At 40.6% G+C, this 24,656-nt stretch overlaps 1 protein-coding gene across 1 annotated transcript, besides 1 other annotated feature; it reads left to right on the forward strand.

Moving 5' to 3' along the window:
- The first annotated feature begins 817 nt into the window (after positions 1 to 817).
- Positions 818 to 22,133, forward strand: NRSN1 (neurensin 1). The gene is made up of 4 exons (NM_080723.5): positions 818 to 943; positions 2,731 to 2,803; positions 8,922 to 9,119; positions 20,151 to 22,133. Exons 3-4 carry the CDS (start codon positions 8,931 to 8,933, stop codon positions 20,547 to 20,549), a joined length of 588 nt encoding a protein of 195 aa, NP_542454.3. The 5' UTR covers positions 818 to 943; positions 2,731 to 2,803; positions 8,922 to 8,930; the 3' UTR covers positions 20,550 to 22,133.
- Positions 1,451 to 1,651: a silencer, noted in NCBI's record as "peak5732 fragment used in MPRA reporter construct". NCBI's record gives its function as "represses an SCP1 promoter by STARR-seq MPRAs in K562 erythroleukemia cells {active_cell/tissue: K562}" and the evidence as "EXISTENCE:reporter gene assay evidence [ECO:0000049][PMID:32103011]".
- Positions 22,134 to 24,656: the final 2,523 nt, after the last annotated feature.

The raw sequence follows: 24,656 nt of genomic DNA on the forward strand, positions 1-24,656 counted from the left end.
TACCCAATATTCAAAGAGGTGAGAAGGTTCTTCATTTGGGCAGTGCTCTACCAGCAAAGAGAAGCTCCTCACCTTGTGTCCCATCAGGGACAGAAAACATCTCTAATAGGGTGGCAGTGGAAGAAACACACATCATGACCATCTGCCTCTTCACTCATTTTAAAAATATGTACAGTCATGCACTGCCCAGTGATGTTGGAGTCAACGACAGATTCTATGTATGACGGTGGTTCCATAAGGTATTTTCACTGTACCTTTTCTATGTTTAGACACACAAATTCTTACTATTGTGTTCCAACTGCCAACAGTATTCAGGAGGGTAACATGCTGTACAGGTCTGTAGCCTAGAAGCAATAGGCTCTACCATATAGCTAGGTGTGTAGTAGGCTGAACCACCTTGGTTTGGGAAAGTACACGCTATGATGTTAGCAGGACGAAATCGCCTAACCACATATTTCTCAGAGTATCACATCCCCATCATAATGCGACGCCTAACTGTATATTGAACCAGCCTTCTACGACCAAAATATGGTCTGGGCAGAAAAAAGCTTTGAAGAAGCACTAAGGCAGAGAAGGTGCCCATCCTGGGGAGCCTCGGCAGGGCCCAGTGACCAGCCTTCCATGGCCCTGACAGCTGCCCTAACAGAAGCTCCAGCCTCACGGTGCAGGCAGGAACAAGCCTGGCGCGCCAGACAGCTCGGCCCCGCCCACTCGCCGCTCTCGGAAAGCTGGAACCCTGCCCCTTTGGAGGGGGAGGCGGCGGCGGCGGCGGCGGCTGCGCGGGCCTCGGGTGCGCGGGCACGCGGGACTCCCAGCTGTCAATCAGGCGCGGGCTGAGCTCTACGAGGCGGAGCGGCGGCGGTGGCGACGGCGATGGGACCCCAGCGAGAGATCTGCAGCTAGGCTGGCTGCACTTGCTCCACGGGTCAGGGGATCGGAGGGGGTAGGTAAAGCCACGCAGAGTCCAGGGGTGGCGGCTTTCTATTCTCCAAATGTCTTTCTCCAGTTCTCCCTCTCCTCCCTTTCTCTCTTTCCTTCCTCCTTCTTCATGCATAAATGTTCTTTCTCTCTCTCCCTCCCTCCTTCATTCACGTTTATTATATGTGCACCAATCTCCACAAAAAACATGCGTATTAAAATCGGTGAAAACATACAAATTAGGAAGAGCTAGCTCCATGCTTTGGTGGTTTGTGGTTTGTGTTATGTAAGAATTTGGGGGGTGGGGCACGAGGGGCGTACAGCTAAAAACTTTAGAGTTTCCTTTCCATAAGATAAGAAAAGTTGTGTATTAGGAAAGAGTCAAATATATGTATCTAGAGTTTGCAAAGTTGGTTTATTTATCAGGCTGAATTGAGCCCCCACTGGCCCTCCCCACTCCTGTGCCACGTCTGAAGATGTTTCAGTGTTTTGGCGTGATCTCAGGACCTACTTCTTTGTGTTGTTAGACAGGAACATTAGGGTGGGGGTCAGACAGAGTCTGGAGGCCTCAAAGAAAACAGAGCTGGAATTTAACAGCTAATGTTTGTTTGATTGGTTCCTGGCACTGTAACAGAAATGTTTTCAGAACCTTGGAGAGCTCCTTGGGCGCCACATCAGGCCAGCCTTTGGTGAAGGGCATGTGGGGAATCTTCAGCGAAAATGGAGAAGCTGACAGAAAAAAGAAGAGAAATGTAATTCAGAGAGGCAGAGAGAGACAGGAAAGAAAGAGATACAGATGGGGGTGGAGGGCAGGTGTTGGGGGAGGGAAGAAGAGGAGAATGTAGTGAATTTAGTGACCTATGATTGGCTTGTTTTCGTTTGCTTATCCAGATCCAGGAGGCTAATATAATTTGCTTCTTTCCCCCAAATCTGCCCACACACCACTCACAAAATTTGGGGGAAAGTAAATGGGTCTTGACGATTTGGCTTTGGTCCATATAGGCTGACCCTAGAAATGCTGAAAACAGTTTATCAGGCCTCAGCTAGGCTTACTCACCTCAAGTCTTCAGGTTCTCCTGCAAACAAATGGGGACCTGTTCATTAGAAAGAATTCTTAATGATCCCATAAAAAATATGGTCCCAGTTATTATCTTATTTCACATAACTAGAGTAATGTAGGAAACCAACAGCCTTATAGTTGGCAATGGCTTTTTAATCAAATTTTGCATGGGCACCTGCTTTTCTTAGGCAGCTGGAAAGCAAAATGATCATGATAGGAAGAAAACGGATATAGGAGTAAAACTCAGCCTAATAAGTAAATCATCCAAAGAGCCTTACGAAGTGTAAAATGTATGTAAACATATCAGAAAATATAGTGATTATAGGACTCATATATTTTACATTATAAGACCAAGCACCAAAAAAGATCCATTCTGAAGTATCTAGGAAGCAAGGAACTTTTTTAAATTTAGAATTTGTAAAATAGAAATGGACCAGCCTATTTGGAATTACTAACAACATGGAATATGGTTATGTAAAAATGAGAATAGCACATATATAGTGTGTTATAATTTACAAAGCCCTTTTATGTCATCTCATTCACTTTATAAATTATTATGAGAACCCATTGAAAAGTTCTAAAATACAGTTTAGACTTTTGTTTTTTAGAAAGCTATCTCAATTCTTAAACACGAATTTCTTTGTCAATGCTTTTGTGAACATTAAAATGATTCTTTATAAGTTATATGAATGACTTATGAAATTTAGATTTTGATCTGGATTACATTCTGCAGAGACTTTTTTCTTAAATAGGATTGAAGAATGCGCCATTAAAAGGAAAGATCAAGGAGTAAACCAGAAGAAGAAGAAAAAGAGGACTTCAAAGGTAGGACTCAAACCTTATCACATGTAGATTCATAAGCACCCTGTGTATGCATGTAGATAAAGAAGAGATTAAAAGAGAATATGGGTTCTTTTCTCATTTTAGCTTTGGATTTTATGTACCTTTCTAAAAAATGAATCTTGAAGAATTAAAGTAAATGATAACAAGTAAGATAATCTTACATTGTTACTCCTTTTTAAAAATTATAAAAGTGGTTGCATGTCCACTGACTTTGAAGGTATTTTAATAACTCAATATAAAGCCACAATCTCTACCACTGTTTCAGAAAAATAAAATATCTCTGAAATAATCCATTGGTAGGAACACGGTTCAGGATTTAAGAACATGCTTATATAATTTCAGAATGCCTGATTTAAAAGTGAAAAAGCTGTTAGCAGGCTTTCATGCCTTCCTGTATCCCCTATGAGTCTGACTGAATCTTTTAAGGAACTGACCTTTCGGCTTGGTGTTGAATAAGTGGTCTAAATTGTCTATGTGCCTGTACTTTGTCTTTTGCAGCACTGGCCCTGTGGAAAAGTGGCTATAATGGGAACCTCAGTCTCATTATCTCAGAATCATTTTATGGGAGAGAAAAGCAGCATGAAAAATTGAATGATATTTCAAAGAAAATAAATAGAACAGGGCCTGTGCCTGGCCTCACAACTGACTCACACATAGTGTCACAGGAAAACACTCATATTTGTTGCCTCTCTTCTCTCAAGGAGACCTTGAAGACAAAGAATATAATGTCTGTAATGTTCTTAGAGTTTCATGAGGCATAAAGATTTATTTCTGCTTCAAGGCTATGAACATTTATAAAGGAAAATAAAAAGTAACTGCATATATTACACAGAAATTTAAATTTCCAACACATTGATACTACAGTCTATTGGCACACATAGTGATATCACAATAGCACATTCATGAGCTTGTTTCCCTAATACAGGAATTATTCAAGGAATTCTCAGCATTTGTACTCCCTTTACCTCTTGATGATGCCCATTTTGTTATGTTTATTGCTTCATGAGTGTGTCTCCTTGTAACCCAAGAGTCCATTGAGGGCAGACCTGGCTCCACTCATCTTCACAACTATTATTTATCTCACAGGTGCCTGGCACGTAGTGCTTTAAAAACACTGAAGGAAGGGGAGGATGAAAAATGGAGGACTACTCAGGCCTTCATCCACACCAACCCACGTAGAACTCTGCAGGAAGTTTCAAAGTACTGGAGATTAAAGTGGTCAACAGTACAGAAAATGTCCCTGCCCACATGTAGCTTACACTCTATCATGTATATGGTCTATCAGACCATAAGTAAATAAACCACACATAGAATATCAGATAGTAACAAGTGCTAGGAAGAGAAACAAACCTAGACAAGGGGATAGAAAGTAATGGAACGCTGATATTTAGATATATTGATTATAGAAAGCCTCTCAGAAGAATTTGATAGGGAGTGGCAGCATAATTTTTTTCCCTCCTCATGTCTCTGGGTTATGATAGGTGTGCTGAGTTGGTAAGAACTGAATATTCATTTAATGTATAACAGTGCATGCAATTGAGACAGTTGCTATGGACAGGTTATAAAAAGAAGAAATCCATGGATGGATCCTCATTTATCAGCAAGTAGAGCATCCTTCAGAGAGAATAAAAACAACTCTCTCTTCATAGATAACCAAACAATGACACACAAAAGTTGCTTGTGCCCAATCATCATGGCCATGCTGGCAGGGAGGATGCAACAGGCTCCATCAGAGTGTTTACAGAATGAAGACTAATGTGGATTGAATTAAATATAATACTAAAGAGTGTGTTTACTCTGGATTGAATTAAATATAATACTAAAGAGTGTGTTTACTCATCCCCTCTATCCATGTACCTCCTGTGATATTAAAGCTTTCTGTAAATAAAAAAGGCTCTCTAAAATATGTTCATTAACAACAATCATAGATTTAACCTTTTTGTTGTTGCTACTACAGCTATTGAAATATAGACATCAGAAATCTTATGAAACCTTGATCTTTAAGTAAATAATAAGCCAAAGTAAAAAGCCTTTGCACATAGCTTCTGTTTCTGTCTCAATTCTAGTTTGTTATATATAGTTTAATAACTGCCCAGTCTTTAAAGTGACTTTATGATGTGACCTCACATACCTTTTTTATGATACCAGAAGTGTCCATCAATCAAATAAGATTCCAAATAACTGTAACATGGGGACAAAAAGTTACTGACTTCCCTAGGAGATGTATAACTCTCTGTTGAGATTTTGTAGGTCCAAATCTATCACTCTAACATGTTATATTTTAAAATTCATGTTCTTCCAAGTCATTCTTCTCTAGGAGTGAATTCCAGGTAGTTATATGTTTGGGAAGATGTGTGATACCTGTCAGACCCTCGGGGATCCTATTTTAGGCAACATACGTGATACTGAAGTAACTTGTTAAACAACATACGAACATTTAGTCTACCTAGTAGCAAGTAACTAACCTAACTAGTTATATGCCCTTTTTAAAGGGAAGCTGCATACATACTAGTATAAAGTAAGAATTTGAGCTGTCAGTAAGGATATGGAAGGAGGTAGGAAATCAGTAAACCTAGTTGTTCGTTCAATAAAAAAATGATAGAGTCATTCCGTACAGACAAAAAAAATCCTGAAAAGCTACAACTGGAAGGAATTAGAGATTAATCTGGTCCAACCCTCTTACTTTAAGGATGATGAAACCATAGCCCAGAGAGACTAATGAGCTTGTCTGGAATCTCCTGACCAGTAAGTTGCAAATCAAAAAATGGCAGTAAAGTCCATTCTCTGCCCCGTTTAGGTAGCACAAAACAGACCATGTTCTTGTTCATGTTTTGTGCCCCTGGAGGAGAAAGTAAGGCGCTTTGGAATTCCTTTTCTGGAATGTAGCTGACATAGCTAAAAATCCATGGCTTCAAGTAGAGCCTTCAATCACTCAGGCTCAAAAACATGTGTTTTATGACACTTTCTATCTCTTTTATGATTTGACCTATATTGTTTTTAACAAAGTTGGACAACTGGGTCTCATAAAGCAGAAACATTTAACCTACTGTTCTGGTAGCAAACTGTTCAGGGAATGGCTGTAATATATCACACGGTCCTTCTCTGCATCAAAGCTCAATCCTGGGAAAGAACAACTTCAGCATCTAAGGAAACATAACTCTTACTGTTGCTATGAGGGATTTTTTTTTATTCCTATCATATCTATTTTTGTCCCTTTTTCATGTTAAAGTCTCTGATGCTTTATAGAAAATCTGAAAATATATATTTAGAGGAGGTGGTTCTGACTATGCAAGTATATGATTCAGTCCATACTCCTGCTTCTTGTGTTAATTGTCATCTTTCATCTGTTCCCTGACTCATGGTGTAACCTTTAGTAGATGATTTTTCTATGCCTCAGTTTCCTAGTTGACAAAGCAGTTAGTAATACCAACCCCATCTCACCTGGACTGAAATTTGCATTAGAATGCCTTAAAGGAAAATGCCTTTAAAATTATGCCACTTATATACCAATGGTAATAGGCTCTTGTTAATCATCTTCATTGTATAAGCATTAAATAGAAGGTACTGAAGAGATCGTCCTAGTGCTTAAAATATTAAAACTAGGTTAATATTCTTTTGATCTGCCAGATTTTGCTGCTCTACTCAGGCAAAGAACATTCTAAAAACCTTGACTTTTTATGAAATCATATCTTTCTAAATGTTTTAAAGCAAATGTGTTCGTGTGTGGGGGAGTGCAGGTGTGGGTGTGTATGTGTAGACTCTTGCCTCCCTGCACTCTTTCCCTGGGTGATTTCTTTAGATGGTAGCTATACCTGAAACAGAAAAAAGCACAGGAGCTAACAGTTAGTTGGTTTTAATTGACCAACAGCTAAAAAGATGAGGTTATTGGTCATCATTAATAGCACCATTTTTCTAAGACCAGGGCCATGTTTTCCTCAATTTGACTACATTCTTAACCAAAACTCATGTGTAGCTAAGGGCACATATTTAAAGATGTGCTAATGGGTTTACTTTGTGCCCACTGCACAAGGAATTGCTGACTATCCCTGGTTCCAACTTTGATTTTAGCCCCATAATTCTATCCAATCAAACTAACTGGCCACATATAGGCATTTGATGGGACTGTAGATCGATATTTTTCTTTTGTAGATAAACATTACTAGCTGGTTGCTTGATAAGTAATTGGAAACATTTAATATGCCTCTGTTGGCCTGGATTACAGCACAAGCTCTGAGAAAACCTGGCTTAATAGAAAAATAACCTTCTATGTTGTTCCCCACTTTGTCACGTATAGACTATGTCCACATAACTAAAACTATCTACAGGATAATTTTTTTTGGAAGAAGTCTGATTTATTTGAAAACACAAAAATAACCACCTTCATTTATATTCAAACAGTGTGGCAGCTATATTGTGGACTAAAGAGTTCTTTCAGAATTTTATATTTCTTTTATTATTTCCACTTTTTAATATTATACTTTAAGTTCTGGGATACATGTGCAGAACGTACAGGCTTGTTACATAGGTATACATGTGCCATGGTGATGTGTTGCACCCATCAACCCATCACCTAGGTTTTAAGGCCCACATGCATTAGGTATTTGTCCTAATGCTCTCCATCCCCTTGCTCCCCACCCCCTGACAGGTGTGTGATGTTCCCCTCCCTGTGTCACTGTGTTACCATCTGTGTACAGGATAATTTAAAAATCCAAACACGTATTTCACATTTCCAGCTATACATTTATTTGCTTATATGGAGATCAGAAATTAAGACGATAACTGACAATTCCCTTATTCAACAAAATTACTGTCACTCAGTAATTCTTTCTTTTTTTTAACCATGATTAGTAACAAAATCCATATAAATGCCTCTCTCTAAGGGTATCAATTAGGTCAAATAAAGTAGAAATTTCCATCTTAAAAAGGCAGAACCCAAAACAACCTGCCTAGGACATAGTTTTATTTAACAGTTCTCTGAGTTCTTACTTACAGTAGACACTTCATGGAAAATAATAAAAGGTTGTGTCCACTCTCCACATTATACTCTAGCCACCCACATGGACAGATGTATCCACAAACAATGGGTAAAATATATGGTGTTAGAGTTAGTGAGGTGTAAATTATTGGCCAAGCCATTTGTGATTAATAAAGCATGAGGCATAAATTGCTCAGCAGCTTTTTAATAAAGCTTCATACAACTTGACAATTAGTTAAAATGTCAGAGGAAGATACATGAGATCGGAAGGCAAAATTTCAAACTAGTAAGAGTAATGCGGTGTAGATTCCACAAGGAAACATAGTTAAAAATCTGAGAGGACAGTCTAAGACAAACTCCATCTTCAGCAAATGAGAATGCCTGCCCAATTCTTTAACATGTAAGTGCAAAGACAACTAGATTCTAAGAGATTAAAGATTTCTTGTCAAGGCAATAAAAAATCTCAGCTTCTTTGTTGCCATTTCTTGTGTGCTTCATGCTTAAATGTGTACCTAATTTATGTGAGTTGTGCTGTTGTATCTCATTTCATTTATGGAGATGCAGTTCTAGTCATTGAGTGTTTAGGTAATCTTGCATTAAGCAAAAAAGAAGAACAGCTTATAAGAAAGACAGGTTTGTTGTTGTTGTTGTTTGTTTTATTGAGACGGAGTCTCACTCTGTCACCCAGGCTGGAGTGCAGTGGTGCGATCTTGGCTCACTGCAAGCCCCACCTCCCGGGTTCACGCCATTCTCCTGCCTCAGCCTCCCAAGTAGCTGGGACTACAGGTGCCCACCACCACACCCAGCTAATTGTGTGTGTGTGTGTGTGTGTGTGTGTGTGTGTGTGTTTTTAGTAGAGACAGGGTTTCACCGTGTTAGCCAGGATGGTCTCCATCTCCTCACCTCGTGATCCTCCCTCCTCAGCCTCCCAAAGTGCTGGGATTACAGGCGTGAGCCACTGCGCCCCGCCAAGAGAGAGGGGTCTTTAAAAGTACCTTTTCTGTAATGAAAAGAGCATTGTTCAACTAGGCATACATTACTCAGTCTGGTTCTTACCTTTCATATGTCTTTTGATCCTGTGGCCAAAGCCTGTGGCATTAATCCATGTGGATGTTGTCATTCCAGCTGGGAAGGATGAGTTCTTGCAGCAACGTCTGTGGGTCCAGGCAGGCACAGGCTGCAGCTGAGGGTGGTTACCAGCGCTATGGAGTCCGGTCCTACCTGCACCAGTTTTATGAGGACTGTACAGCCTCAATTTGGGAGTATGAGGATGATTTCCAGATCCAAAGATCACCTAACAGGTGGAGCTCAGTATTCTGGAAGGTAAGGAAGGAGCATGTGTTTAACTTAGGGAATGGAAAAATTATTGGACATGGTTAATACTGCAGCTGTGGAGGATGGAGAGGTTTAGTACTCGCTGTGTGTGCATCACTCTTGGTGATACTAAATGCATTTTTCTTACCTTAGGAAAGAAGAATCTAAACCTTGGGCCAAAGAAAGCCTCTAAACACAGCACAACTATTGATGAGCAGATTAAACATAAATAGGTGCAATTGCCATATGAATTATTATTATTGCTACCATTAAAAATGTGCCATTAAATTCACTAATTGAAGCCATCCATAGGCAAAACATTATATTCTTTCAGCCTTCCTTACAGGCGTGGTAAGTATCATCTGACAAGTTGCAACAATTATTAAAAAGAAATCATTAGGTATTTAGAGAGAGTTAATGATGAAATGTAGTACAGTGGTCAGTATACCAGCTCCGTCTCTACCGAGTGTGTGATCATGAGGCTTTCTGACCCCAGCTTCCTCAAATGAAGGAATCTCATTAGACAATGTATTTAGTCCCTCAACAGATAATTAGTGAGCATCTACTCTGTGCCAAGAGGGTTCAAAGTTCTGGAAGTTAAAGTGGTAAACAGGGAAAGAAAAAGTGACTTCCCTCATGGAGCTTACAATCTATCATGGGAAACAGGCTGTAAACAAAGAAACCACATGATAGAATGTTAGGTAGTGATAGTGCTATGGATGACAGGGGGTGATGGAGACTGGTATTTGGATATGCTGATGGTAGAAGGCTTTCAGAAGAGATGCCATCTCAAGGAATACCAGGATGAGTTGAGGGAACAGACCTGACTGAAGGTCATCCTAGACTGGGAAAATAGTAAGTCCAAAAACTCTGAAATGGGAACAAGTTTGGTGTGTTTGAAAATGATCCAGAGGTCTCCAATCTGGTTGGAGTGGGGTGAGAAAAGGGACAGGCAATGAATTAAGAAAAATAACAAGGCACAGATGATTTATGTAGAGCCTTGTACACCACAGTGAAGTCTTGGGTTTTTACTTCGAGAGACATGGGAAGCTACTGGAAGAGGTTGATAAATTTAGAGGGTGTTAAAGTACCCAGGCAAAAGATGCTGGTGGCGTTAGTGGAGATGGTGAAAAGTAGTCAGATTTAGGTAAAGGTTATGCCTATTAGACATCGGAGTAGTGATCTCTAGTGACAATTTAAATATATCAATCTACGGCTCATAAATTGGGAGTTATTGACACATAGAATCTATACAAGGCACTAGACTTCTGAGATCATCCAGGAGAAGAGTGTGGACATAGAAGAGAAGAGGGCATTGGGACATTCCAACATTTAGAAACTAAGAAGGGGAAGAGGCTTCAGGGATACTGAGAAGATGAACCTTAGATAATGCCTAAGGTCTTCCTTAATCTTTGTTTCTCCCAAAAGATCCCAGAATTTTTTGACATGGATATTGACATAAACTTGCAATTTATTGGCCATATAGTGTAACAAGAGGCTGTATAGCCTAATAATTATAAACATAGATTCTAACCTCAGACTACATGAGCTCAAACCCCAGCTCTTTTGTTTAATCATTCTGTAACCCTGGGCAAATTAATTGGCCTTATGGGGCCTCTAATGGTGATACTTATAGCACCAACCACATAAAAGATATGAGAATTAAATGAGATAGTATTTACAAAGAGCTTAACACTGTCTTGGTATGTGCTTAATAAGCATTAGCTATATTAGCTACTATTACTGGTTGCTGTATGAAGCACTGAGTTCTTAAATGGGAAAAAAAGTTGAAATATAGTTAATAAATCAAGTATTAAGTAACACAGTTGTTAACATGGATAACCCAAGACCTGTGTTAATTCAGTGTCATATTGTTGTCACATACTCTGCATCAGAACTGGTCAAGTCAGCATCCTTGCCCTGTAGAAATCTCACCTCTGATGAATCCTTACTGGCTTTAGCCAATGAAATGCACAGCCAAGCTTGGCACATCTTGTATTTACCCAGATATGTGGGTGGTTGTTTCCCTATTTGTCAAAAAAAAAAAAGCATTTGCCTGACAGATCTGTTGTGCCAAGAGCTCAAAATGCCACTGACACACAGAATATTGTAAGTGTTCATGGAACTTCAAAGCACTGGTTGTTATGTGATTTGTGAAGCTGTAAACCCATCAAATAAAACATAGTTATGGGTTTACAACAAATAACTCACAGTGAATTACCAACCCCAGAATTCATATTTCATTATTTTCTCCCTTCTATTTTGCACAAACAAGATCCAAAAATATTTATTTACTGCTGTGCTGGAGTCCTAGATGTATACCTTAGCCACAAAACACAAGAAGCCTAGTGTCAACCTGACTGACCTAGGAATTCACTGTCTTAGAGACCTCATCTCTATCAAGGGATAAACCAACTGTTCCTGGGTTTCCTCCTAAGGAATATGAGTGAATTCATGCCAGTGGATTTATGAAGTGCTTTGTACCAACACAGGAAAAAGCACTAGCTATGCTCATGTTTCTATTATGATTCTTTTTCATGTTTTTTTCTTTCAATCAAATTGCATCTGTAGGTGGTTCAAATTGCTGGCTTCTCCTTTCCCTGCTTCCACTGTAGTGTTGCAAGAGTCATGTTGGCCTCTCACTGGGGGCTGTGCTCACAGTGCTTTGATAGGACTCTGCTCTTGAGGCATCTTTACAGCAGTGGGCAGCATGGCAAGACTTAATGAGAAAGGAGATTGAAATCAAATGGGTCTGAGTTAGAATCTTTATTGCATGCATCTGCATAACATCTATTTCACAGTATCATTCTTCCTCTCTTTCTTCAAATGTGTAGCTGTCCAACATTCACCAGGCTCTGGGATTCTGATGTAAATAAGATCTTCTTTTTCAGAGGTGAACAAATATTCTTCAAATATGAAGAAGATCTTTTCTTCACCTCTGAATAAGATATAGCCCTTGACCTGAAGGAGTTCACAATCAAATAGGGGAGGTGGCCATGTACACAGATTGTTGTTGTTTTTTTTTAATTTTATTATTATTACACTTTAAGTTTTAGGGTACATGTGCACAATGTGCAGGTTTGTTACACATGTATACATGTGCCATGTTGGTGTGCTGCACCCATTAACTCGTCATTTAACATTAGGTATATCTCCTAATGCTATCCCTCCCCACTCCCCCAACCCCGCAGCAGTCCCCGGAGTATGATGTTCCCCTTCCTGGTACACAGATTGTTATAATGCAATATACTAAATGCTCCCCTTAAAGCAGGCACAATACTTACTGGGAGCACAGAGGGGCAGGGTGGAGTGGGTATCTGATGCAGACTAGGGAAGAAATGGCTCCAAGAGGAGGTCACATGTGAGAAAGCAGGAACGGGGCATCCCAGTAGAGAGAAAAGTATTGCAAAAGCTAAGAGTCATGGGAGAGTACAGCATGTTCAGGAGACTGCAAAGAGTTCCCTGTGGCTGGGGTAAATGTTCAAAAGTTGAAGAAGAGGAGTCAGGAGTTGAACCTGGGAATGCATACAAAAGCCAGTTCACAGAAGACTCTGAAAGGCCATGTAATAGAAATTTCTCCGTAACATTTCAGCTTGAATACAGTGAGGGGGCAAGATAATGAATCTAGGCTTTCATAGTTGGGATGTCATAATCAGGTATAAACACACACACACGCACAAACACACACATACACAGAGTGCCGCACACTTTCTCTGTGCTTCAGAGGTCCTAGGTTGCTGCATGACTACCTCAGCCACTTCTAATTTATCCCACTGCCTGCAGCTGATGCCATCTATAAAAATCGATGTAACACAGTCCCATCACCCATTGCTGCTGCCCCAAAATCAATCAGGCTATGGTGGAATTTTTTTTCATATCTTTGCCTTTGACCTTGACTAAGGCTGTTGCCACTTGATTGTCCACGCAGCAAACAGCGTCATATGTAGGTGTCAAACCAATGGGAGCAGTCTTCTCACCCCCAGTCATTCCCTCCTCACCTCAGGGTTATCTTCTTGCCTTCTCCTCGACCTCTCTCAGAAACCTGTACCAGCCTATGTCAGAGGTTAATATGTCATGGAGGCATTTAATGGCGATGTGCAGGTGCAAGGTGTGACCGCCTCCTCCACAGCCTTACAAACTGTGAAAGTGACTCCGGTCCCTCTCTTTCCTCTCAAGACCCAGGTTAAGTTCCTCCTATCTGCCCTGACCTCTCCAGTTCCCCCTCTTGAGCTAAGTCAGAGTTTAAACTTAAGTCCTTGTTTTTTCCTTCAAAGTTTTGCTAGATACTGAGAAGTTAGTTTTATACTAGAGATGAGAGGAGCTGTGGAAGACTCTGCTTTTTAAATCGCAAATAAATATTGTATATATTTGTCATGTACAACATGTTGTTTTGAAATACATATATATTGTGGCACGACTACCTCAAACTAACATGTACATTACCTCACATCCTTTTTTGTGGTAAGAACACTTAAAATCTATTCTTTCAGCAATTTTCAAGAACACAATACAGTCTTATGGACTATAGTCACCATGTTGTACAATAGGTCTCTTGAATTGATTCCTCTTAGTTGAAATTTTGTATCTTTTAAACAAAATCTTCCCAATCCCCTCTCCCACTCCCTCCCAGTTCCTCTCTACCTCTATGATTTCAACTTTATTAGATTCCACATATAAGGAAGATCATGAGATATTTGTCTTTCTGTGCCTGGTTTATTTCACTTGACATAATGTCCTGTGGAAGACTACTAAGAAGAGAAGCCATGTGGTATAATTTCTGTTTATAAAAGATTTCTCAGATTGCCTTTGAAGGATGGAGCAATGGAGATCATCAGGACACTGTTGCAATGATCCAGGCAAGATATAATAATGGCCCGCACCATTAGAGTGGCTGCAGTGGACGAGACAGAAAAGATTCAAGAGATTTTTATGAGATAGAGTGACTAAGATTTAATATCCACCACTATGACTGTGAGGAACAATTTCACGAATGGGTGGATGGGAAGAACGCAAATAGAGAAAATGGGAAGGAAGTGGCAGAGCACCATTTTTACTCTTTTGGGTTTGAGGAGTGTTTGGGACATTTTTCTGTAGATTTTCCTGTTGGTTGTCAGAAATATGGTCTAGAGCTCAAAACAGAGATCCAGGCTGGAGTTGGAGGTTTGGAAGTCACTGGTAACAGGTGGGAGTTGAAACTGTAGCTTCCAATTAAACGCTAAAGAGAACATAGTGAATAAGAATAGGTGGAGGTCAAGGATAGACTCCTGAACCAGACGTGGTGGTGTGTGCCTATAATCCCAGAGGACTCAGGAGCCTGAGGAGGGAGGATTGCTTCAGGCCAAGAGTTCAAGGCTGCAATGAACCATGATTGCACCATTGCACTCCAGCCTGAATGACAGAGAGTGACCCTGTCTCTAAAAAAGGTGGGAAGGGTAGAATCCTGGGGAATACTAATAATTTACAAAGAACATCCAGCAAAGCAGGTTGACAGTGAGTTGTTTGGAGCAGAGATACACAGAGGAAACAGTGTGTCAGAGATAACCACGGGGAAGGGTTTCAAGAAAGTATAAGTGTTTAATATCAATGAACGTAGAATATTTAAGTGAGCCTAAAAAATAAATTAGATTTGACATTAGATTTGACAATTAAGAGGTCCTTTGTAACCTCGGAGAAGCAGGTTTAAGGAAATCGTGGAAGACTAAGCGTGGCTGTCAAGGGTAGAACGGACATTGAGGAGTAGGAAGAAAGGGACGCAGAGCTGGAGAATTGCTTTCGAAGATGGAGGCAGTTGAATGTGTTTATGCGCTGGAAGAAGGAATCTCTGTTAGGTGGAAGAGCTGATGTGATTTCACTGCCCAGGTGAAAGGGTCTAAGAAGATTGTGAGGTCAGTCTATGGAAGGACCTCGATTATCGCCAGGCATCGGTTCTTGCTTCATAAAGCTCAGTGTCAAGCTGAGGCAAGCAGGGACAGATGAGCTACAGTCTGCCACTGCTGCTGGCAGACATCACCGCTCAGAGCTCAGGAGAGGTCAGCACAGCCCTCAAGGGCTGATGCAGAAGAAAAAGCCCATCTTCGCTCTTGATGCGCTTCCCCTAAATAACCTCTAACCCAGATGGCGCCTTGCACATGCAGCTCCATCCAGCATTCCCCGCACGCCAGGCCGTTCTTCCCAGCCACGCAGGTTCGCGCTTCCAACAGTCATTCCTGCCTCGTCTCTGCCAGAACAGCTGCGCCGCGACTGCTGCCAGCTCTGTCTATTGGAGTAAACTGCATTTTCAGGCCTCATCAGCTCACTGGGAAACAATGAAAGGATGTTGGTCAAAATAACAGCAGTCTCTGGCCTGTAGCCCCCACCAGCAGAATTTCTGGCATATAAATAAGTTCTCTTTCCTTTCCAATTTTCCTTTCCAGCAGCAGGAACTGGGTTTTCACACATCCTCCCACAGCCAAGAGTGGAATCGGAAGTTACAGCACAAAAACTGTCCTCGCTGCTGTTTCGGGAGTTTGTCACCACCTGGAGAGGCCCTTCTCTGTCGCCATTGGGATTGGCCTTACCACCCTAAGGCCCCAGGTTGCTCTGCTGAGCCTGGAGGAGGACCCTTCCAAAGCATTCCAACTCTTCTGTGTGGCCCTAAACGAGGCTGCTTTGCTTCCTCAGAACTTTAAACAACCTCTGCATTGCAATTTTTTGACTCTTTCCATTTGGGAGTCCTCTTTCTGTTAGACCTGGGACCAATTCGACTTTGAACTGTGTCCAGAGATAATTTTTATGATACTGTATGGAATTGCTCCCTCAATTTTTATCCTTTCCAGTACTCAGCATGGTACCAAGACTAAGCTGATGAGTCCCAACTGCTCTCCTCACCTCCCATATGCTACTCATGAGACTCCTTCGTACCTATCATCCCACGCTCTCCCTCCCATGTTTTAACATGTCTGGAATTCCCCAATGGGTGCATCTCTCAGAGATTCTCATTAAAGACTGGCATTAACAGCCCCTTCAGAAGCCTTGAAGTCAGCTGTTCACTGTGCTGTCTTCCCCACTACAGAGGGCGAGCCTCTCTCTGATTCTCTGATGTCAATAGAAAAGAGGAGAATGCTCAGAAAGCCTAGCCACGTTCCAGTTCTTCAAGTGAACAGGAATTCTGCCATCTGAAAGCCATGGTTTGCATTTTAGCTTCTGAATGATAGTCCAGGAGTGGATTTTCATCGAAAGCACTGCTCAGCTGAGGAGCAGACTGCTCTGAGAATCAATCACCTGGCTCTGTGTTCAGCAGTCTGATGGTTTAAGTTAGGCAGGCAGGACGGTTTATTGAGTGTCAGGCTGGAATAAGAGCTGTGGGGAGGCAAGACAGACACACACTGGTCTCACTTGCTCTTCAGAATCTCAGAAACTAAGATAACTTTCGGCTACCCTCAATTTTTGATAATTAATGCCAATTCTTCAGCAGGGAGTTAGTTTAGTGACATAGGAAGCATGTCACCATGGATAGTTAAATCAATTTTGCTTGTACATTCAGAATTTTCTGATATGAGTCATTTTCTAAAAGTTATAAATAATGGTTAGTCTTGGAAGGTAAATGTACTTGCCACCATTTTTAGAAAAATGTAGAAAGCAATCCAAAATGTTATATTTTACAGCCCAATTTTTCCCGTAGCACTTATGTCTTATACAGAACAGCTTTTTTTTTTTTTTTTTTTTTTTCAGAAGACATCCTATTGACTCTTTTTCAGTTTCCTTACAATATGAGATACTGGAAATTTGTTCACATATGGTGGCTAAAACTCCTTTGAGGTTCAAATAAAAATAATAGAAAGAAATATACAAAATAGTAATGGCGAAGTATTATGGGCAGAAGAAAAGTCATGGGTAGCAGGAATCACACAGATCTGGGTTAGAACTAGTCACACCACCTGCTATTTTTGGGATCCTCAACTATGCTTTTTTTCTCTCTCTTTTTTTCCCGAGACAGAGTCTCACTCTTGTTGCCCAGGCTGGAGTACAACAATGTGATCTCGGCTCACTGCAACCTCCACCCACCCAGGTTCAAGTGATTCTCCTGCCTCAGACTCCCAAGTAGCTGGGATTACTGGCATGCCCCACCATGCCTGGCTAATTTTGTATTTTTAGTAGAGATGGGGTTTGACCATGTTGGTCAGGCTTGTCTTGTGTCCAGAAGTGGTTCCTCCCGGTGGATTTCTGGTCTCTCTGACTTCAAGAATGAGGCCGCAGACCCTGGCAGTGAGTGTTACAACTCATAAAGGTAGTGCGGACCCAGAGTCAGCAGCAGCAAAATATACTGTGAAGAGCGAAAGAACAAAGCTTCCACAGGGTGGAAAGAGACCAGAGCAGGTTGCGGCTACTGGCGCGGGTGGCCAGCTTTTATATCCTTATTTGGCCCCGCCCACATCCTGCTGATTGGTCCATTTTACAGAATGCTGATTGGTCCATTTTTACAGAGTGTGGATTGGTGCATTTACAAACCCTTAGCTAGACACAGAGCGCTGATTGGTGTGTTTTTTACAGAGTGCTGATTGGTGAGTTTACAAACCTTTAGCTAGCCACAGAGTGCTGATTGGTGAGTTTACAAACCTTTAGCTAGACACAGAGCACTGATTGGTGTGTTTACAATCCTTTAGCTAGACAGAAAAGTTCTCCAAGTCCCCACCCGACCCAGAAGCCCAGCCGGCTTCACCTCTCAGTCTCAAACTCCTGACCTCAGATGATCCACCCACCTTGGCCTCCCAAAGTGCTAAGATTACAGGCATGAGCCACCATGCCCGGCTAAAGTATGCTTCTTTAACCTTATAATCCTCAGTTTCTTATAGGTGAAATTGGAATAAAAATACCTACTTCTCATAAGATGCTTGTGAAGATTAAACAAAAAACACATCTAGCATTAGTGCAGGTCATAATAGATGTTCAATAATACCAGTTATACTTTTCCCATTTTTGCTAGGGTGATAGATTTGTGGATACGTTTTCCTTCTATTAGCCAAGCCTCCTTTATTAGTATATTATCTCAAAAATTTAAATATTAAAGATTAATTTATGTTATGTATCTGGTTATTTTCCTAACCTTGTTATTCTAACTAAAAGCAATTAAGAACAGAAGGAAAGGAAAAATTACTTTAAAAAGTAATGGTGTTAGCTATTCCTTATTCCAAGTGCTGAGCAATCGTAATACTGTTACCAATGTAGCATAACAATTTTTCAAGGGGTGTCTTTCCAAATAAGAAGAATAGCTACTTATTACAATTTATAATTTTGCCAGATACAATGTATAACTTTGCCAGATACAAGGCTAAGTGCTTTTATGGATAGTCTCATTTAGTCCTCACAAGTCCTCTATGAGGTAGGTATTATGAGCATTTGTCATTTTATAGATGGGGAAATTAATGACAAGAGCTTTTAAGTAACTTTCCTTCTATGATTCAAGTGCTAGGTGGTGGTGGTAGAATCGAAGCATGCGTCCATTTATTTCAAACCTATGGGCATTGACCACCAAATGGTACATCATTTCCATCTTTAGTATGTTACATTTCATTAGAACTTGAGCTAATGCAGTTTAACCTCCATCTGCTATTCTGAACACTTCCTAGCACCTGCACAAGTATACCCCAAATAGCTACATGTGAGAGGAGAAAGAACACTGGCCTGGGGATCAGCTCTGTGGGTTCTAACCCTGCCTCTGCAGCTTGCTAGCTGTCCATCTTTGGTCCATGACTTACCCTCTCTGACGCTACATTTCTTTACCTTAACTGGCCATTAAGGTTCCTTCTCTGCTTACTTTGAAAAGAGGTGAGTAGTTACAAAGACTGTCCATGTCCTCCAGCCAAAACCACCAGGAACACACCTATATGTTGAACAAGTTGGATGTATTACTCATTACAGTAAGAAAGAATGTCACCATAGGGGACTGTGGGGCATTGCAATATGAGAGTGTGAAAAGGATGTATAATATTATAGGATGTGGGCTCTGGTTGGGTGATTTTGGGGAGGGTCTAATGAAGCAAGAGTTCACTCTGGATTGTTAGGGACAATTCTATGATTGGATATCTTAATATATCTTATGTATAGAGAGGACAGACTAGAGTGAGACTAAAGCCATCATGAGAAAGAAGTAGGTGTCATTCATATTAGCCAGGAGCGGGGGTCATGTCGTATTTTGTGGTTTTTACAAGGACCTTGTTTTTGTCTGTGCTTAGACAAAGTTATGAAGGGCTACTGTTTTGTCTCACTTCATCATGGTCACAGAATGAGCATGTGTTAATGTTCTGTGAGATGGTGCCTGGCAGAACAGCATGGCCTTGCTGTGAGCTCCTAGCCAGCTTCTAACAATGTCGAGGCCTAGGGGACAGAGTAAGGCCAGCTCCTGGATATCAGGGCTACTCTTCTTTTCCTCAAGACCAAATGAGACAATGTAAGCAAAAGAAGGTTTTGTCAACTGCAAAGCATTGTACAAATTTAAAAAAAAAAGATATTTATATATATATTTACATATTACATATCTACTTTTAGATATATGATATATATTATATATAATATATATCTTTAGGTATATAATATATATTATATATTTTATATATATCTTTAGATATATATATAATATACATATCTTTAGACATATAATATATAATATATATATCTTTGGACATATATATTATATAGATCTTTAGCTATATATAATATATCTTTAGATAATATAAAGATTATATATATCTTTAGATAATATAAAGATTATATATATATCTTTAGATATACAATATATGTATATCTTTAGATATATAATATATATATATGATATATACATATATCTCAAGGCTGAGTGCTGGAGTTTTTGGTTGGCATTAAAATTAGAAAGATCATCTTTCACCTTTTTCAACAGAAAATTAAGTAAGTGTTTCCTGCAAATTTGGGGTAACTGGGAATATTCATTTCTCTCAAGAAACAAGACAAGTGCTGCCCTTGAGGGCTCAGGGGCGAGCCGAAGCACCTTCCTCACTCTATCTTGCTTCTGTCATTATCTACCTGTAGGTTGGACTCATCTCAGGTACAGTTTTTGTGATCCTCGGATTGACTGTTCTGGCAGTGGGCTTTCTTGTGCCCCCCAAAATCGAAGCATTTGGCGAAGCCGATTTTGTGGTGGTCGACACACATGCTGTCCAGTTTAACAGTGCTCTGGACATGTACAAGCTGGCAGGAGCTGTTCTCTTCTGCATTGGAGGCACGTCCATGGCAGGGTGCCTGCTGATGTCGGTGTTTGTAAAGAGCTACTCCAAAGAAGAAAAATTCCTCCAGCAGAAGTTTAAAGAACGAATCGCAGACATCAAAGCCCACACCCAGCCGGTTACAAAAGCTCCAGGGCCAGGGGAAACAAAGATTCCAGTCACTTTGTCCAGGGTTCAAAATGTCCAGCCTCTACTGGCAACCTGAAACCTTTCCCACCCCAGTTCTTCTTGTCTGATTTATGCCCGTGGTTAAAAAGAGCAGGCCAGTTTTCGAGATAAAGAAGATTTGGCGTTGACTGCCCTAGGGCTGTGTTCAGCTGTGGGCAATATAATGGGTGGACTCACACTTGCTCAGTTCAGGCAGCTCTGCTGGAGGGCGGTGCCATGCCTAAGCCTGTGCACATGCATCCAGCTGCTTAAGATGGGTGCTTCCTTGTACCCGGCCACCAGAAAACCCCTGGAACTCCTCTTTCATAGATCGTGACTTTGTGTTATTTTCCGTGTTGTTTGAAAGTGCCGAACAGTTTAGACCAGCTCACCAATGGCTAATGTGGTCCATTTTATTTTCTAATATTGGTTTATCTAATGTTTTCTGCGTGGTGCTGTCTTCCATTCCTGTCTCACTATGTGTAAGATTTTGTCATATGTGTTCATAGAAACATGGAATTCTCTGATTTTGAGCCGAACATGAGTTTTTAGACTGTATCTTGACATGAGGTTCCTGACATTGGATACAAAGTTATCAGCATTCACAAATCTTTTTGTTTTCTCCATTTTTTTTCCCTTTGAGATGAAGTGCTGTTCTTTTGCCTAGGTTGGAGTACAGCGGTGAAATCATAGCGCACTGCAGCCTTGAACTCCTGGGCTCAAGCGATCCTCCCACCTCAGCCTCCCAAGTAGCTGGGACTACAGGCACCTGCCACCACCCCCAGTTAATATTTTTTTTAATTTTTTTTAGAGGCAGGATCTTGCTGTCCAATTTTTTTTAAAAAGCTAAAATTGCCAACTTTAGAATCTTGACCAAAAAAAATTAATTTTAGGAGCATCTATTTATGCAGTGTTCAAAAGTACTGAATTAGAAACCAGGAAGTTTTAGTTCCTTCTACTACCTGTGTGATCTTGGGGAAATTATTTAACCTCTCAGTCCTAATTTTCCCCTTCTGTATAATGGGAGTTCTGGATCACAATATGTCTGGGCTCTCATTACCCAAACATCTGAGATTCCATTTTTGCCATGTGTCATCGAGTCGCTCCCCAACAGATGTTTGTGATGTTTTTGTGGCTGTCACCATGGTGGGATTCTTTCAGAATGAGACTCCTGGAAATTCACTGAGTCAGCAGCCTTCACACCATCTACCCTTAAATATCCAACCCCAGCAATTTATACAACGCTGTCATATTTTTAAAAAAACAAAAGTAAGCCATCCTCAAATAAGGAACCCCTTGGTAGATATTAACCTTAAAAAGGGTTTTCATTCTCAAACAAGATGCTTTGTTCTCCAACAAGATGTTCATCTCATCACTTGCACTTTTGTTTTAATGTATGGATTCAGATTAGACTGAGAAAAATGGATGGTATTTTCTTAAAATTGTGCCACCTTAGAGCCCCCCCCCTTTTTTTTTTCTTCCTTCACTGGATAAATAAAATATGTGAACAAGTGGAACCTGAATTGCATTGTCATTCCTTCAGTGTGGTTATTTTCTCTCCAACATGTAATTTTCCATTCTGAGACTGAATAAGCTCTGATGTTTCCCCGGCTAAATGGAAGAATAAATGAAGCAATTAGTACTCTTTGTGCACAGTGTTTATTTTGCATAGTCCAGCATAAAACACAGGGCAAATCAGTATCCTTAGCAAGGATCATTGGCCAGATTTTGGAGAAATCGTTCCAGTTTCCTCAGGTTCTCTATCTTCCTGTGGAAATACCATTTTAATTGTATTCTTTAAAGACTTATGCAAGCCCCCAAGCATCTGTTCAAGGCAACATCGTTTGAAGCTTTCCATGCTTGCTTCTGTCTTGCATACCAATGAATCTCTGAGGACGAGACCTGACTTGTAAAAGCTTCCAGAATGAAAAATGATGGCTGGTGGGAACTTCTAGGTACAGACATAACAGCAACTATTTAAAAAGCACTCTATTCCTCAGATGAAGGCCTAAAATAAGCCGAGGCGGATAAAGTAGGAGCTGGGTTTGCAAACAATTCAGCATGCCCTGTCTTTCCTGTTCAGCCCAGGCTTCGTGGAAGTGGGTACTTGTAAAGACCCTCCCAGCCCACGAGGCAAGGATTGGGAGTTATTGTGGTAGAGCAGAGAAAGGTGGCTGGATTGGATTAGGAAATACAGTTTGATCTTTGGAAAGAATGCAGGCCGTATATAATCAGAGGCTGGGAAGCAGTGGACTATGCATTTTTTAAAGATATTTTCTGGCCTGGGTTGGGCAGACATCTCAATTGTATGGCAAACAAGGATGACCTTAGAGCTTTGATCCCAGCCTCATTGCTTGCACTAAACCAGTCCTTCCCTTCAGTATTGAAACTTCTAAAACAAAGGGAAACCGCATACCTATAGTGCTGAGATAGCAGCTGGAGAAACTTAGAAATGGTTTCTGGCCCAGAGGTCAGGTACACACAGGCACTTGGATAGAAACCTTAGATAATATGGGCCCACCCAGGCACACGTTTCCCCACCCCTTTGTCAACACTCATTGGCATTTTCTTAGGCACTTCCAGTGATCCCACACCTACTGTCCCACAGGTGAGCTGCTATATCTGATAATGGCTCTGTATGGCTAGAAAACCCATCCCCATGTCTTTCCAAACTCTGCGTTGCTAAACCTTCCACACGTTGGATAAGATTCCATAATTCAAAGTTACCTTGAAGTCTAATCCTCTTACATATGACCAATGAGCTCTTGCTTTCAATCTTATCACCTCCCTGTTTGTTTTCTTCAGAGAGATATTTCTATAAGTTCTTAATGTTCCCAACTTAGTTCATGCCACCTATTAAAAGGTGTCCCCAGAGGTTTTAGAAATTATGTATGTTAGAGATTCCCTAACTCCATTAATAGTGTTACTATGTGAACAGGACCTCAAGCCAGAATACAATAACAAAGGGCTGTGTAAGCAGCTCCTTTGTGGGCTCTCAAGGCCTCCTGGGATCTGTCCAGCTCCTTTCTGGTTTTATTATGGTTTTATTCTAGTCATATGCAACCAGTCTCCCCTCTCTAAATGTGCCTGCACTTTCATGCCCCTGTGCCTTCACTCACAATGCTTATTTTCCCAAGAATAACCACCTGCCTATTCTCTGGTTATGAACTCATCATTCAAGACCACATCAAGAAATAGCAGCAATAACAATAATAACTAACATGTATTGCATGGGAGGGATCATTGAAGCCTTTTATATGTATCAATTCATTTAATTTTCAAAAACCCTATGAGGTCAGGACTAATACCATATCCCCATTTTACAGGAAATGAAATAGGCAAAGAGAGCATAACTCATCCAAGGATAATCAGTAACTGACATATGCAAGATTTAAATTCAAGCAGCCTGACTCCAGAGGCTCTATGTTCCACCAATATGACAATATGTTCTTTTGCCTCTAGAAATGCCACCTTTTCTCTGCAGCTTCTCCTTTATATATATATATCTCACACACACACACACACACAGACACACACACACTCAGACTTAATGTCTCTTCCTCAATAAATTCAGCACTTCATAAAAACACATTCTATCCCACTTATCCCTCTTTATTATACTGATTGTTTACACATCTGTTCCTTCCATTAGAAGCTGACTATTAGCTGCTTGGGTACAGAGAGCATATCTTAATAAGTGGTGAACCCTCAGAATCAAATACATAAAAGCTATGTGTTACTATTATATGGTTATTTAAAACAATTATTGCATTTTTATTCAGAGCCAAGCAATGTGCTGGCACTATAAAGGGATGATGAACAGGGGCACTAATGTTTTTGCATATCGTGTGTGTGTGTGTGTGTGTGTGTGTGTGTGTGTGTAAGGAAAAAAAAAGTATTTTCTAGGGAGGACTAAGCTTAGAGTATGAATATGGGTTCCCCAAAGCAAAACTTCCTTCAACATAACATTTGAGTGGGAGAAACCCAGTCTGATGACTAGCTCACCATTTCTATATCTAAAAGCAAAATCTTCCAGCCAACGAGTCTTGCCCACTGACACAGAGCTATCAGTCATACTTCTCATTCCAGCAAGAGACCGATGGAACAGCTAAACCCACCTAGTCAAGAACAGAGTGAATTGTTTCCAGCAGTCCTGAATAAACAA

This window comes from Homo sapiens, chromosome 6 (assembly GCF_000001405.40).
Source record: "Homo sapiens chromosome 6, GRCh38.p14 Primary Assembly".
In the NCBI taxonomy this organism is placed as follows: Eukaryota; Metazoa; Chordata; class Mammalia; order Primates; family Hominidae; genus Homo; species Homo sapiens.